This window comes from Homo sapiens, chromosome 1, assembly GCF_000001405.40.
Source record: "Homo sapiens chromosome 1, GRCh38.p14 Primary Assembly".
NCBI lineage: Eukaryota > Metazoa > Chordata > Mammalia > Primates > Hominidae > Homo > Homo sapiens.
This window is the reverse complement of record NC_000001.11, coordinates 58,341,630-58,355,921: the sequence shown is the minus strand read 5'-3', so window position 1 is coordinate 58,355,921 and position 14,292 is coordinate 58,341,630. Positions and strand designations below refer to the sequence as shown.

At 41.5% G+C, this 14,292-nt stretch overlaps 1 protein-coding gene across 1 annotated transcript in view; it reads left to right on the top strand.

Moving 5' to 3' along the window:
* DAB1 (DAB adaptor protein 1) overlaps window positions 1–14,292 on the top strand; it is a 1,551,949-nt gene that overhangs the window by 190,805 nt on the left and 1,346,852 nt on the right. Inside the window, exon 4 of the mRNA NM_001379461.1 lies at window positions 12,519–12,570. The gene's annotated coding sequence lies outside the window, so the exon portion shown is untranslated. The remainder of the gene's footprint in view (window positions 1–12,518; window positions 12,571–14,292) is intronic.

Below are 14,292 nucleotides of genomic sequence, written 5' to 3'. Positions count from 1 at the left end.
GGTAGCTTTTTTCAGGTGTGCTGTCTATTAATACAGCTGATCAGACCCATGCCTATCTAAGCAGGGTGCCCTTGAGACTTTGCATGTTCCTGCGATTAGAGGCATTACTTGCTTTCTTATAACACAGGAGGTATGAATGGCAGCTAAAGTTAGTCAAGAAAAGAGGGAAATAGCCTGAGATAAGAGATGTTTATCCCATACGATTTCTACCTGTACCCCACTATCCCAGGAAATAAGGGGGAAGAGGAGGTCTCCAGGGGGCAGATGCCTTCTCTCACCTACAAGTCTCTCATACCTAAGCCTACCAGGAAAGGAGTGGAAGGAAAAAGTGAGCATCAAATTGGGTGAGATTGAAGTTTTAAACTAATCTAATCTGGACATTTTTATTCGTGAAAGTGACAAGAAAGCTGAGAGGTCTGCCAGGCTTGTTATTAAGGGATAGATTCATCAGCGCTTGAGAGAAAATAGTGATGGGGAAAAAAAATTAAACTCTTCCATGGCTGCATCCCATCTGCTCAATAAACCATCTAGAAATTTCCACTGGTAGACCACCAAAGGTACACTCTATCTAGAGATAATTAAAGATTGAACAATATAGCCTTTCAATTCACATTTGCCATTGCATGCAAACTCTGAAACAAAGCTGTGCCACTTTACAGATGGAGACTGGCTGGTGAGTTTGGAAAAAGGCTCATGGTAGGGTTGTATTCAGGAGAGTTGAGTTGTGTGTTTGCTTCCCTCAATTGCATTTTTAAGTCTCTGAAGTCTGTAGACATCTCTTTGACAACCTGTGAACTCTTTAGATCAGAAACCATTTCTCAGCTTTTTTAAGTTTCTTATAACACCCAGAACAGCACACAGGAGACGTTCAATAAATATCCATTGAGTTATTCAGGAAATAAATGTATAGATTCCGTTTGATGATTATAGCTGGACCTCGTCCAGGTAAATTTGAGCTGAAAAATCAACTAACTTAGAGGGGGAAGATTGGAGCACAGAGTCTAATGATGCTATTTGTCAGCTGTGTGATTTTGGGCAAGTTACACATGTTTATGAGCCTTGGTTTTCTCATTCATAAAATAACAGCAGCCATACCTGTGTCACAGGTGTGGATAAAATGATACTGCACATGTGAACACACTGAACACAGAACAGTTACCCCAAAGCCCATTTCTGAAGCTATGGACTCTAGCACAATCTTCCTGGATTCTTATCCTCTGTGATTGTTTGACAGACTTCCCCTCCTCCCTCTCCCTTCCTCCTCTGTGTCCTCCTAGATTATAAATGCAGGCTGAATCCACCCTCTCAGACACATAAGAGACACGTGTGAGTAGGCCGAAAGACCTTTAAGAAAAGACCAATATTTGCATATCTATTATAACTACTCACTGTTCGACTTGTTTCATTACAATTTCTATTTGGATAATATGTAAGGTCAATACTGTCACTGTTCTGGAAAATTCATTTTTTATTAAAGCAAAATGCACTGTATTTATAGAGATAACACCTTAAATGCTACGAGAGAAGGTGCACCAATTACACTGGTTCCCTTGATGGGGCAGGTTTATGTGCTACATGTTTTATAATATGTTACAAGGAATGGGACCTTAGCCCGTGTTGATGTGTCCCAAGTGTCATTCCTCGCTTGAATTCGAATAGGTCTGACCATCCTTTCTCGTAGATCTGGGAGCACTGAGATAACCATAGTGAAAAAAACAACAAGGAAGAAAGCTCTCTTTTCTGCACCCCTCCATCAGTTTATTCCCACCGTCATTACATCCCTATCAGAGTCTCCCTGAGCTACATGCTTGCTTCTTCCATTAGACCATGAGCTACCAGAGGTATCAGGCTGAGCATCTGGGGCATACTAGAGCCTCAGTAAATATTTGTTCAATTAGTGAAAATGAATGCCTGACACAAAGCAAGAGCTTGGAAATGGTTCTTTGAATTGTTTTCTTCGCAGGGAGGTAGAATGGCATAATGCACCAAAAATGCACCTAGACATTCAACCAGGAAATCTTGAATTCAAATCCTGGCTTTATCACTTATTAGATATGTGACAATTTACTTAACTAAATGAAACTTCAGTTTTCTTTTTTTTTATTAAACAAGAAAAGTTCTTGTGATCATTATCCTTTTATAGTTCCTTGCACATAGTAGATAAAACACATTGTAATTCCATTTCTTCTTCACTTTTTCCTTTTTGATGAATAAAGAAGAATGCAGAATTGTTGGCATTTTCCTGCTTTTCATTCTATTCTGCTCAAGTAAACAAATCTAATTGAAACATGGAAAATCTTTTTGAGTATGTGTTTTGTGGTATTTTCTACAAAGACCTTGACTTCTGTTTTTCTTTTCTTTTCCCCATCCACTAATTTTAAACTCGATAAACAACTAACTAACCTTGCCATTTTGGTACAGGGAAGTCTGTGGTTCCTAAAGCAGAATATTGTAGACTAATACAATCTGTAAAGCATTAATGTCCTGGTAGCAGTCAGCTTCTTTAGTTATTCTTAATATATCAGAAGGCCTAAGGGAAAAGAAACACCTGTTTTAAGGTTTCACAGGCTAACTCAAATGTCAAATCTATGTGTGTTTGGCTGGAATGAAATCAACTCAAAACAGTAACCGTGGTTATCTCCTGGTGATCAAAATGTCAGTGGCTGTTTTAGTGTATTTTGATTCATTAAAATGATGGGAAAATAATTTACTGGTCCTTTAAAAATTCAGTCTATTTGATCAGAAAAAAATATTTCAAAACACAGAGTTTATGATAGAGGACACAAATAAAGAAGGGGACCTTTGGGAAAAGTGGCATGAGGGTTTCTTGGTGGAGGTTCGATTCGGCAGCGTGGCATAACTCCAGACAGTGGCATTTATGTAGGTGTCTGAGTCCGTTTGGGCTAAGCAAAAATACCGTAAACTAGGTGGCTTATAAACAACAAAAGTTTACTTCTCACAGTTCTGGAGATTGAGAAGTTAAAGATCAAGGCACCAGCAGATTCAATGTCTGGTGAAGGCCAACTTCCTGGTTCATACACAGCTCTCTTTTTGCTGTATCCTTACATGACAGAAGGAGAGGGAGTCTCTGGGCTCTCTTTTATAAGAGCACTGATCCCATTCATCAGGCTTCATTCCCATGATCTCATCACCTCTCAAAGGCCCCACCACCCAATATCATCACTTTAGGGGTTAGGATTTCAACATATGAATTTTGGGAGTGCACAAACATTCAGGCCATAGCAGTAGACCACAGTGTGAATAGCACCCCCTGGAGTTGTGTAATGTATTGATTGTGTTTAGACCCACTTTTCCGATAGTTTATTTTTACTGTGCTGGACTGAGGTGGAAAGAGTGGAGTTTGGAAAATTAGACCTACCCCTATTAGCTGTTGCCTTTGATCAAATCTCTAAACTTTACTCATCCCTAAATGGTGGTCCCTTTCTCTACAAATGTTAGATACATGCCGGATGGCTATGTACTTAGAGTCTGACCATATTAGCAGGTGACTAATTCTACTTCCTCATCAGCGTTTTAAAATATTCAATATACATTTATTATTATTACTAATAGGAAGGTTGAGTTGCACACATGATTTCAGGCACAGTATTTTGAAGAAGACTCTGGCATATACACAGGATTGCCATTTCCCTACATTATGTCCTCAGCACAGGTTAATTTAGAGGAGGCAGGGGAGGCATCTAGGCATAAGAGAAAAATAGGGATTTCTGGAGAGAAAATCAGTGCTTCCTATGCATGTGCACTGTAGGAAGTGCTTACATATGCAAGTCAGGCCAACTGAGACATGTCTGAGATAACAGGATGCCCTGAGCAGGCCTTCAAGCTGATGGATTTAAAGGAGAGGCTAGGGCTTCATGGCGGAGGAGTAAAGAAGAGGACCCAGTGGCAGAAGTGGCCAGTGGCTCCTGATTTATCCTGTGCAATTCAGTCATTTCACTCTGGCCCTTAACTTGCATTCCCATCCTACTCCAACTTCCCTGAAAATATCAACTCTGAGGTTACCTAGACTCACCGTCCTTAGAAAAGCATTCATCTAGTATGGCTCAACAGGCTTCTTAAGGGTCTCAACAGCTGCCTCCTCTCCACACCCCTCTCCCCCATCTCCCTGCAAAGATTAACATTGATCTTTTAACCTTACAGGAATCCTGGTAAATCTGAAATTTTCCTTTTTGTTACATTCCCAGTGATGTTACTGCCCCAAGGGATAATCTATCACATTTTCTAGATTGGCATGGGCGTCTTCTTGGCTCTGCATGCATGAAGAGTACATTGACCTCTCACCTTACCAATGAGGAAACTGAGACTCAGAGAGGCTGGAGAACTTACTCTAGGCCAACACTTAGCCATCTACCGAGCCAAGGTTCAAACACAATTCAATGTGTTTGAAGTCTGTTCTTCTTCCATCTCCTTCCACCTCCTTCACTCCCACTGATCATTAGGCTATGAAATGGAGAGTTCTTGAATCTTATGGTCAAAATCTATCAGGGCCCCTTCTTGCAGATGGGAGTGAGAAGGACATGAGATATTTGAGCCTATGAATCCCTTTTGATCTTTCCGGGCTGTTTCACATATTTGACTCTTTGAAAGTAGTGGTTGTAACCATGCATGGGTTTATGAGCCAAAAATGTGAGTCCATTTCTTTAAATAGATATCTGTTCCCTTAAACGAGCCCATTTGCAATTGCTACAAAGAGAATAAAATACCCAGGAATACAACTTACAAGGGACATGAAGGACCTCTTCAAGGAGAACTACAAACCACTGCTCAAAGAAATGAGGGAGGACACAAACAAATGGAAAAACATTCCATGCTCATGGATAGGAAGAATCAATTATCATGAAAATGGCCACACTGCCCAAAGTAATTCATAGATTCAGTGCTAGTTTCATCAAGCTACCACTGACTTTCTTCACAGGATTAGAAAAAACTACTTTAAATTTCATATGGAACCAAAAAAGAGCCTGCATAGCCAAGACAAACCTAAGCAAAAAGGACAAAGCTGGAGGCATCATGCTACCTAACTTCAAACTATACTACAAGACTATAGTAACCAAAACAGCATGGTACTGGTACCAAAACAGTTATATAGACCAATAGAACAGAACAGAGGCCTCAGAAATAACACCACACACCTACAACCATCTGATCTTTGACAAACCTGACAAAAACAAGAAATTGGGAAAGGATTCCCTATTTAATAAATGGGTTGGGAAAACTGGCTAGGCATATGCAGAAAACAGAAACTGTACCCCTTCTTACACCTTATACAAAAATTAACTCGAGATGGATTAAAGACTTAAACGTAAGACCTAAAACCATAAAAACTCTAGAAGAAAACCTAGGCAATACCATTCAGAACATAGACATGGGCAAAGACTTCATGATGAAAACACCAAAAGCAATGGCAACAAAAGCCAAAATTGACAAATGGGATCTAATTAAACTAAAGAGCTTCTGAACAGCAAAAAGAAACTGTAATCAGAGTGAATAGGCAACCTACAGAACCGGAGAAAATTTTTTACAATCTATCCGCCTGACAAAGGGCTAATATCCAGAATCTACAAGGAATTTAAACAAATTTACAAGAGAAAAACAAACAACCCCATCAAAAAGTGTGCAGAGGATATGAGCAGACATTTCACAAAAGAGGACATTTATGCAGCCAACAAACACGTGAAAAAAAGATCATCATCACTGTTATTGAGAAATGCAAATCAAAACCACAATGAGATACCATCTCATGCCACTTAGAATGGCAGTCATTAAAAAGTCAGGAAAAAACAGATACTGGAGAGGATGTGGAGAAATAGGAATGCTTTTACACATTTGGTGGGAGTGTAAATTAGTTCAACCATTGTGGAAGACAGTGTGGCAATTCCTCAAGGATCTAGAACCAGAAATACCATTCGACCCAGCAATCCCATTACTGGGTATATACCCAGAGGATTATAAATCATTCTACTATAAAGACATATGCACACGTGTGTTTATTGTGGCACTGTTCACAATAGCTAAGACTTGGAACCAACCTAAATGCCCATCAATGATAGACTGGATAAAGAAAATGTGGCACATATACACCATGGAATACTATGCAGCCACAAAAAGGATGAGTTCATGTCCTTTGAAGGGACATGGATGAAGCTGGAAACCATCATTCTCAGCAAACTACCATAAGAACAGAAAACCAAACACTGTATGTTCTCACTCATAAGTGGGAGTTGAGCAATGAGAACACATGGACACAGGGAGGGGAACATCACACACCAGGGCCTGTCGAGGGGTGGGCGTCTAGGGGAGGGATAGCATTAGGAGAAATGCCTAATGTAGATGAAGGGTTTATGGGTGCAGCAAACCACCATGGTATGTGCATACCTATATAACAAACCTGCACATTCTGCACATGTACCCCGAACTTAAAATATCATAATAATAGTAATAATGATAATAATAATAATAATAATAAAAGGAGCCAAGTCAAAATGTTGAACTAGAGAACTTCTCTTTTGGACAGGGCTCAAATAGCTACCAGCAATAATTGCTGCTCACATGCTTTTCCCCGCTATGCACTGGTTCATGCTCAGTGACTTGCATCCTGGGATGTGGGGAGATGATTCAGATACAGGTACTTCAGTATCTCAGGCACTGAGGAAACCAGACTGTTTGCAATTTCATGGAACTAAGAGAAGAGCAGGGGCTCAGGCTGTGGAGCAACCCAGGAGCTCAGATACTCAAACCAAGCCCAAGCCAAGAAGAAGGTCCGAGTGATCAGCATCCTGATGTCATGTGCCAGTAAGCTCTTAGGCTTACAGATTTCTCTGAATAGGGTCAGAGTAAGTTTTCAAAGACTGAAGTGGGGATGGGACAGCAGGCGGAGGCAGGGAGCCAGACACTCTTCTCTCTCAAAGCTGTGTTCTGAGCTCACCTTTTTCATGAAACTTTTCCAGATGGACTACAGTCAGCCCCAAGCAGTCCAATCTTCCTAATGACATCTTGACAATCTAAATCAGGGTCAGACACCTCTTTGAAGTATCCTGCCAAGTCTTCCTTTGTTCATTTTAATCCAGGATCTAAAAACCTTTCATGAGTGGCATGCCAAAGACTTCATTTATTTACTCTAATTTAGCATTTCATGTGCCAAAAAAACTTCCCAACGTGTGTAAAATCTCATTGTAGGGTGAAGTAAAAGTCAGTATAAAATCACATAATTAGAATCACAGCATCAGAATGTTGAATTATTGAGTTCTAAAACTTCATTTTAAAGATGGATAAATCAGGGCCACAGGAGGATAAAGTGTTACCTGGAGTCTAATAGCCAAGTTAGGGCCAGACCCAAGCTAGAGTCTACTGAGTCTTAAATTTTCTTTTTATTCTATCACTACTTTTTACAAGCAAATTTGAGTCTTAAACATAGAGCATCTGCTAGCAACATCAAGAAAACTGAAACCTCAAACAAAATCATCTTTTTTTTTTGTAACTACAGCCATGAATTTCTCCAGCATTTAGAGACTTCTAGCCTCATGTTGTTTTACTGGTCTCTTTACTGGCTTGCGGTTTGTTGGAAAAAGCAGTGACTGACTTAGAAGGCTGAGTTTGGATGCAGTTCAGTCATTCATTTTTTTGAATCTTGAGTACATTATTTAGCTTCTTTGAGACTCTGCTCATTCAAAGGTAAATAAGGAAAAATCACAACCTCCTAGAGTTGTTAGGAGGTGTATTTGCCAGGGGTTTGGAGAAAATAGGTCCCATGTTGGTTGGTTCAATAATTGGTCACAAAATGGCAAAAGGACCAACAGAGCAATGAGGGAAGGTGAGGTCATCCTAGCATTAGCAAGTATAAGAAGCCACTACCTCTTCCAGAGCTGCAGGTACAAAGAGATGAGGCAATGCTAAGAGCCCTGGCATCAGGGCCTGGTGAGAGCTGGACCCTTGGAGGATAGTCATTCCCAGGGGAGTCAGGCAAGACCCGGAGTTAGTGGTAAGGCTGCCTTGCAGGAGCTCAGATCATGGTTTGAGGGGCTGACTGTTGGGAGCTAGAACCTGGAGGAGAAGCAGCCACTGCTCAAGCCAAGGGGGCAAGGTGAGAAATAGTTAGCTTCTCTTTCCCTCCCTTCTTCCAGTCTCTTTCTACTGCCTGCTGTCAGCTGAACTGAACAGAGGTGAGGTCTTTTGGCAAGAGAACCTTGGAATGTTGTTTGCAGGGTTTGGCCTCCCTGTGATAAAGAGTAAATCAGGGAAGTGCAAGAATTGATCTGAGTGCAGAGGAGTTGAATAATTTCCTGCATATCAAGCTCCTAGCACTGTGCACAAAGGTGGTTCTCCTCCACCTTGTGACACATTACTGGGATCCACAGCACTGAAATAAACCTCCAAGGATTGTCTTTCCCAGGTGGCTCAGGCATTTTTTGATCTTGAAGTGGTAATTGACAATCTCCCACCAAGGTCAAGGTGGCTGAAGCTGGCTTCCTATGTGCACCCTATTCATTAAAACCATCGGTTGGGTGCAGTCACGCATGCCTGCAATCAGCACTTTGGGAAGCTGAGGCGGGTGAATCGCCTGAGGTCAGGAGTTTGCGACCAGCCTGACTAACATGGTGAAACACCATCTCTACTAAATACAAAAAAATTAGCCGGACATGGTGGCACATGCCTGTAATGCACGCTACTTGGGAGGCTGAGACAAGAGAATTGCTTGTACCTGGGAGGCGGAGGTTGTGGTGAGCCGAGATTGTGTCATTGCACTCCAGTCTGGGCAACAAGAGCGAAACTTTGTCTCAAAACAAACAAACAAACAAACAAAACAAAACAAAACAAAACAAACCCATAATCATTTCTTATGCTTTATAAAGTACCTTTTCTATCATGTATTTAAGCTTGGCAGCAACCCAATGAGTCATATGATAAAATGGACCATACAGTTGAGGCACAGAGAGGTTAGGTAAGTAGCCCAAAGTCAAACAGCTAATAGATGGTGGAGTCAAGTTTGAATTGCAATCTGACTCTAAGTTTAGTCCTTTCACTTATACCTGTAGCTTGCTTCGCCAGTGTGGCCACAGAATTCATGAGTTTTAAGCATTTCACACATGGTGTTTCATCGTTTCCTTCTAGCAGGTAGTTGCTATTATTTTCTCTTATTTCTAGATGAGGATCCTGAGGTCCATTGAGGTTACATGACTTGTCCTTTGTTAGTGGAATGATATTATTTGTAATGTAATGAGCTTCTCATCATTAGAACTAATTAAGCTAGTGATCACATATCTGGCTGTGGCAGCACAGATGCTTATAGATACTTCATGATTAAAATGAATCATTGCATTTCAAAGGGCTTTTTCTGGAACCCCACATTTCTGAAGAAGATTACTTATCCAGAGAAACTCCATTTTTGTCCATTTCCTGTATTGAGCTACCATGTAGGATGTTATTTGCAAAAAATGGTTCTGCTGCTATAAAACAAAAGCAAATTGAACCCGACTGACTTAATGACCCTCAAAGTCATTTTTACAGCTCTGATTCCACAATATTATGAAATAACGAGCACCGGCACACATCACCGTTGCAAATACAATATGAGGACCCTAGGCAGAGGACAGGATCCTCTCATAGAAGCTGAATAAATAGCTATTGTGAGGAGTTCAGTGGGTGATGGCACAGGGGCCTTCATTTCCGCTTCTAGCCAAAGAAAATTTTGATCAGGCTGCAGGCCGCCTGCCCATTCATCTGCAGCAGGAAATGGATTTAGTGTCTGTATGGGCCGGACTGCCGTATCTATCATCCAGTTAGGCCTAATCAAAATGTTTTCCGTTTCACCTAGTAAGTGCAAAGGGCTTGGAGGAGGGTCTGAGTGATGGTGATGGAGTCCCATCGCTTTCTCATCACTGAACTGCAGTTGTTAAAAGGCCCATTTCTCCTCAGTGTCTCACTCTGAGCTGAGGCAGGCAATCTCTCCTGTCCCTGGAAGCTGCTCTTGGCAGCAGAAAAAAATCTATAGAATTGACCCAGGACGGGGAGGGAGGCAGGGCACATTATAACCCCAAGGAAGCCTAAGGTCAGAGGTGAAACTCAGCACTGATAGATGAAATGAACCTCCTAGCAGGAGCCTCCTTATATAATGAGGGGCTGCAACCTCCTGGGATGGGGGTGGGTGAGGAAGCAGAGGCCAGAGGTCCTCTTAGGCACGAGGGAAGCTCAGGAGAGGGGATTGGAGTATCTCTGGCCTCTTAAGTACAGAGAAGGTGGGGGAAGGGGCTGCTGATTAGAATGAAAATGTGACAGTCATGCAAATCTTCCCGTTGGATTTATGCATCCTTTGCCAGGATTCCAGGAGGAGGATACCTGACAGCCCCCATTAGAGCCAGAGAAATGGGGAAAGTTACACATTGTTCTGTTAAGGGAAGCCCGAAGACCAGGGAATGGAGGCATCCCTGCTGAATTTGTTACTGAGGGAATATTGATTTCAGGAGAAAAACAAATAATGCAGAAATGTTTCCACTTTGATGTAGCACATTCTGATTTGGACTGCACTGTGGTGAAACTTCCTTGTGTGGCTCTCAGTATTCCAAAGCAGACATAATTCTTTTCCATTGAAGGATGTTATTGGTGGCATGGGGGTGGTAGAAAAAATGAGCTTGCAGTTGATTTTGATTCAGCTGGGAAATGGGTTGTTCCAAGAAGTGGCGAAATGAGACTACTGAGGTAGGCTAAGGTCTGGGAGGGCCTTAAATTGTGGGCTAAGAGATGTGGTCAGTGTTTCAGGGTAATGAAAAACAATGAAAGTCTTTTGACCAGCAGACTGATAAGATCAGAACTGTGCTTTTGAGGTTAATTCTGGCAGCCCAGTGGAAGGTGGGCTGAAGGGGTGGAAAGGGTCCTTTTCCTCTTTTCACTTCATTGATGAGCAAATGCATCTATAGGTGCTAGGCTGGGATGCCAGTTAGAAGCCTATTACAATGGCCATATAACAGAGAGGCTGAAAGACCTAGCTGAATTTGGGAAAGGTAGTGAGAAAAAGATAGAGAATAATATTTTGAGTATTCAATAAGAGCCTATCTTGTGCCCATCATTAGATGCCTATCACCTCATTTAACCCTTGCAGCAATCCTGCAAGCTAGGCAGTAATATTCCCCTGTTACAAATGAGAAAACAGGCTCTCAGTGATGTTAGTTAACCTCTCAATGGTATTTAAACCAACACACAGTTTCATCTGCCAAAAGAATAGAAAAGTTTCTAGTTCAAGTCCACTGAACTCAGCCCACCATTATGTTTCTTCTTGATATGCAGAGTTTTATATCCAGAAGGGGCTTTTCGGATTATCTAGTTCTTCTCCGCATTTTGTAGAAGAGAAGACTGAGGCAGGGGGTGGAGGGTGAGACAGCTCAGGTCTGCATTCTTTTTATTCTTCCAAATGCCTTCTCATTCTCTGTTGTCAATATGAGCCCTCGTTTCATCTGAAGCTCACACCACACTCCCAACAGATAGGAAATTGAGTTATACCAATTATGTCCCTGGCACAGTTCAAAATGAAGTGATTGTCAGCAATACCATCACAATTTTCTTCACTGGACCACTAATTTCCTCTCTTACCCCTTTAATCACTGATGCTTGAGGATCTTCCTTATTCTTTAACACAAGGGTCACTTTAAGACACCTGCTATGTGTTCAGGAGCTCCCTTGCTATAACATTAATTAGTGCAATCCTCAACAACAACCTTCTGAGCTGAGCAGCTCTGCTTGTCTTGCCAGTTGAGAACAGCGAGACTCAGAGAGGTTAAGTAACTTGCCTAAGGTCACATAGGTAGGAAGTGGCATAGCAGGATTCAAATCCAGGTTGGTCTCATTCCAAAGCCTCTTCATGAAAATGTCTCTCCTCCTGTTTTAATGTCATTTTATCATTAAGGAGACATTGTTGAGTGCCCACTATATGTCAGGTACAGTGACAAGTACTGAAGGTCTGCACTACAAGTCAGCAATGCATTCTGTGCTCTCACAGAGTCCCAAAGAAGGACACAGGTTAAACAGCAATGTTTCTCCTCTCCTATTTCTTAACAATGGTCAGAACCCATGTATTTACAGCACTTGACAACTCACAAAGCATTTCATATCATTATCTTATTATACTCAAACAACCACCCTAGAAAGCACATAATTTCAGCTCCTCTCTTTCAATAGAGAAGACAAGATGAGAAATAGAGTAAATGACTCAAATAGATTAGAGAGGTTAAGTGATGTGTGTTAGCCTATGCCGCTGGCAATGTGGTTTAACTTTTTGCTCACTGCTCTTCACGCAGCACAACATGAATTCTGGGTCTTTCTGTCTTTCTCCCTCCCAACTTTTTGTCAGCCAAACTTGACTCTTCCATCTATTTGTGTTGAAACTTTCTCTATAGTGTCCCTTGCAGCAGTAAGCTGATACCTTGTGCTACCACACTCTAACCCAGGGCTGTCTATGTTCACACTCTTCAGATCTGTGACTCCTCGTGTGGCTTTTTTTTCTCTTTCAGATTTGGTGAGTCTTGAATGCCCCTGAAAACCATTCTGCTCCATTTCAAAAGTGTAAGTCTAAGGAACTACCTAGAGTGCACACATTTCTCCCTGGTTTTCCTTTTCTCCATCCATCTATCCATCCATCCATCCATCCATCCATCCATCCATCCATCCATCTATATGTTCCAGTTATAGAGACAAGAGCTCAGCATCCCAGTGGTAGAGAAAACTCTAGCAGCTACTGCTAGATGAGTCAGAACCATGGACTGTCACCCCCAGCATTATAGACCTGCAGACCTGTGGAAAAGGGAGTTGGGGCTGGATGGAACATTTGAGACAAATAGGAGACTACTGATGAATGAAGCTAGGGAGGCAGGCAGTGGCCAAATGGTGAATGGCAAGATAAGAAGTTTGGACATAAGCCTATAAGCAAAGGAGGCATGAACAGGCTTTATGCAGGGAGGGACCTGACCAGATTTTAATCTTAGAGGGAACACTTGGGGTGTAGTGTGGAGACACCAAATTTGAACAACCAATGTTAGACTCCAAAAGATCATTTAAGAGAGAGTTACAAAAACAAACAGTTATGAGGGCCCAAGCTGGGTCTATGGGGTGGCGATAGGGGAAAGAAGGAAGTTGGAGAGATTAAAAAGGAGGTGAAATCAATATGTTTTGATGGAAAGGGATTGAGAGAGGTCTAGGATGCCTCCAGGATTTTTGTTTGGATTATGAACTTTGATATAGGGTACATTGGAGAAACAATGAAATTGAGAGCCAAAAGATGTTGAATTCAGCTTTGGTACATTGAGTGAGCTTGAGGTGTCAGCGTGACATCCATGTGGAAATGTCCAGTGATCAGTTAAGTATATGAGCTTGGAGTTCAGAAGAAAGGATGATATATAATGAACACTGAATGGATAATAGTTATGTTGCTGTATTTTGCTAATTTAGCTCAGACCCTAATTATTGATTTATCCACATTCTCATTAGGATGTTGCTGATCACTGCAGCCCACGGGCATTGCCTATTGATGGTAAATCCACACAGTCTGAGGTTGTGAATCCAAGCTGACCAATTCACTGGGACACCTTTTAGTCTTATAGGCCCTTCCAAGTTCATCTCCCTCCAAAGTTCCCCAGATTCCACCTGAGTTCTGGCTTCCTCTGCTTACAAATATCTTATCATCATGGCTTTAGTTTGCTAGAAACTCAAGTGCTACTGTCTTTAAGTAGTTTCATGTATCTAGACATTCCAAAACAGTGGAACTCACACTGTCTCTCTTGGCATTTCGGAATTAAATGTTAGAGAATCTCAGAGCTGGGCAGTCATCTTGCAGATCATGCACAGCTTTTTAATTTTATGAATGGAAGTTGTGAGGCCAAGGCAGAGGAAGTGACTTACTGAGGCTCCCTTCCATTCAATAAAATGTTTATTTGTTGTGTGTCTACCATTTTTCAAGCTATATATCTTAGATGCTGGAAATACAATGGTGAAACTGAAATATGTAGACCCTACTGTGTTCTTTACAGCCTATCAGGACAGAGGTAAACACTGTTAACCAGACTAGAGAAAGTGGTAATAAAATAATCATTAACTATCTGCCCGCATCACCTTAGAAATAATTTCTTGTGAGGAGCTAGTGTGTAGCAGAAAGTAAGGGTCATCTAACTCTAATTCTAAGTCCTTTCCAGTATATCATGTTGCCTCCTTCATTAGTAGGTAATAGAAGCTGCTAAAATCATAGTTGAGGAGTGGTTAAAGGCCTGGGATTTCGAGTCAGACTACCTGGGT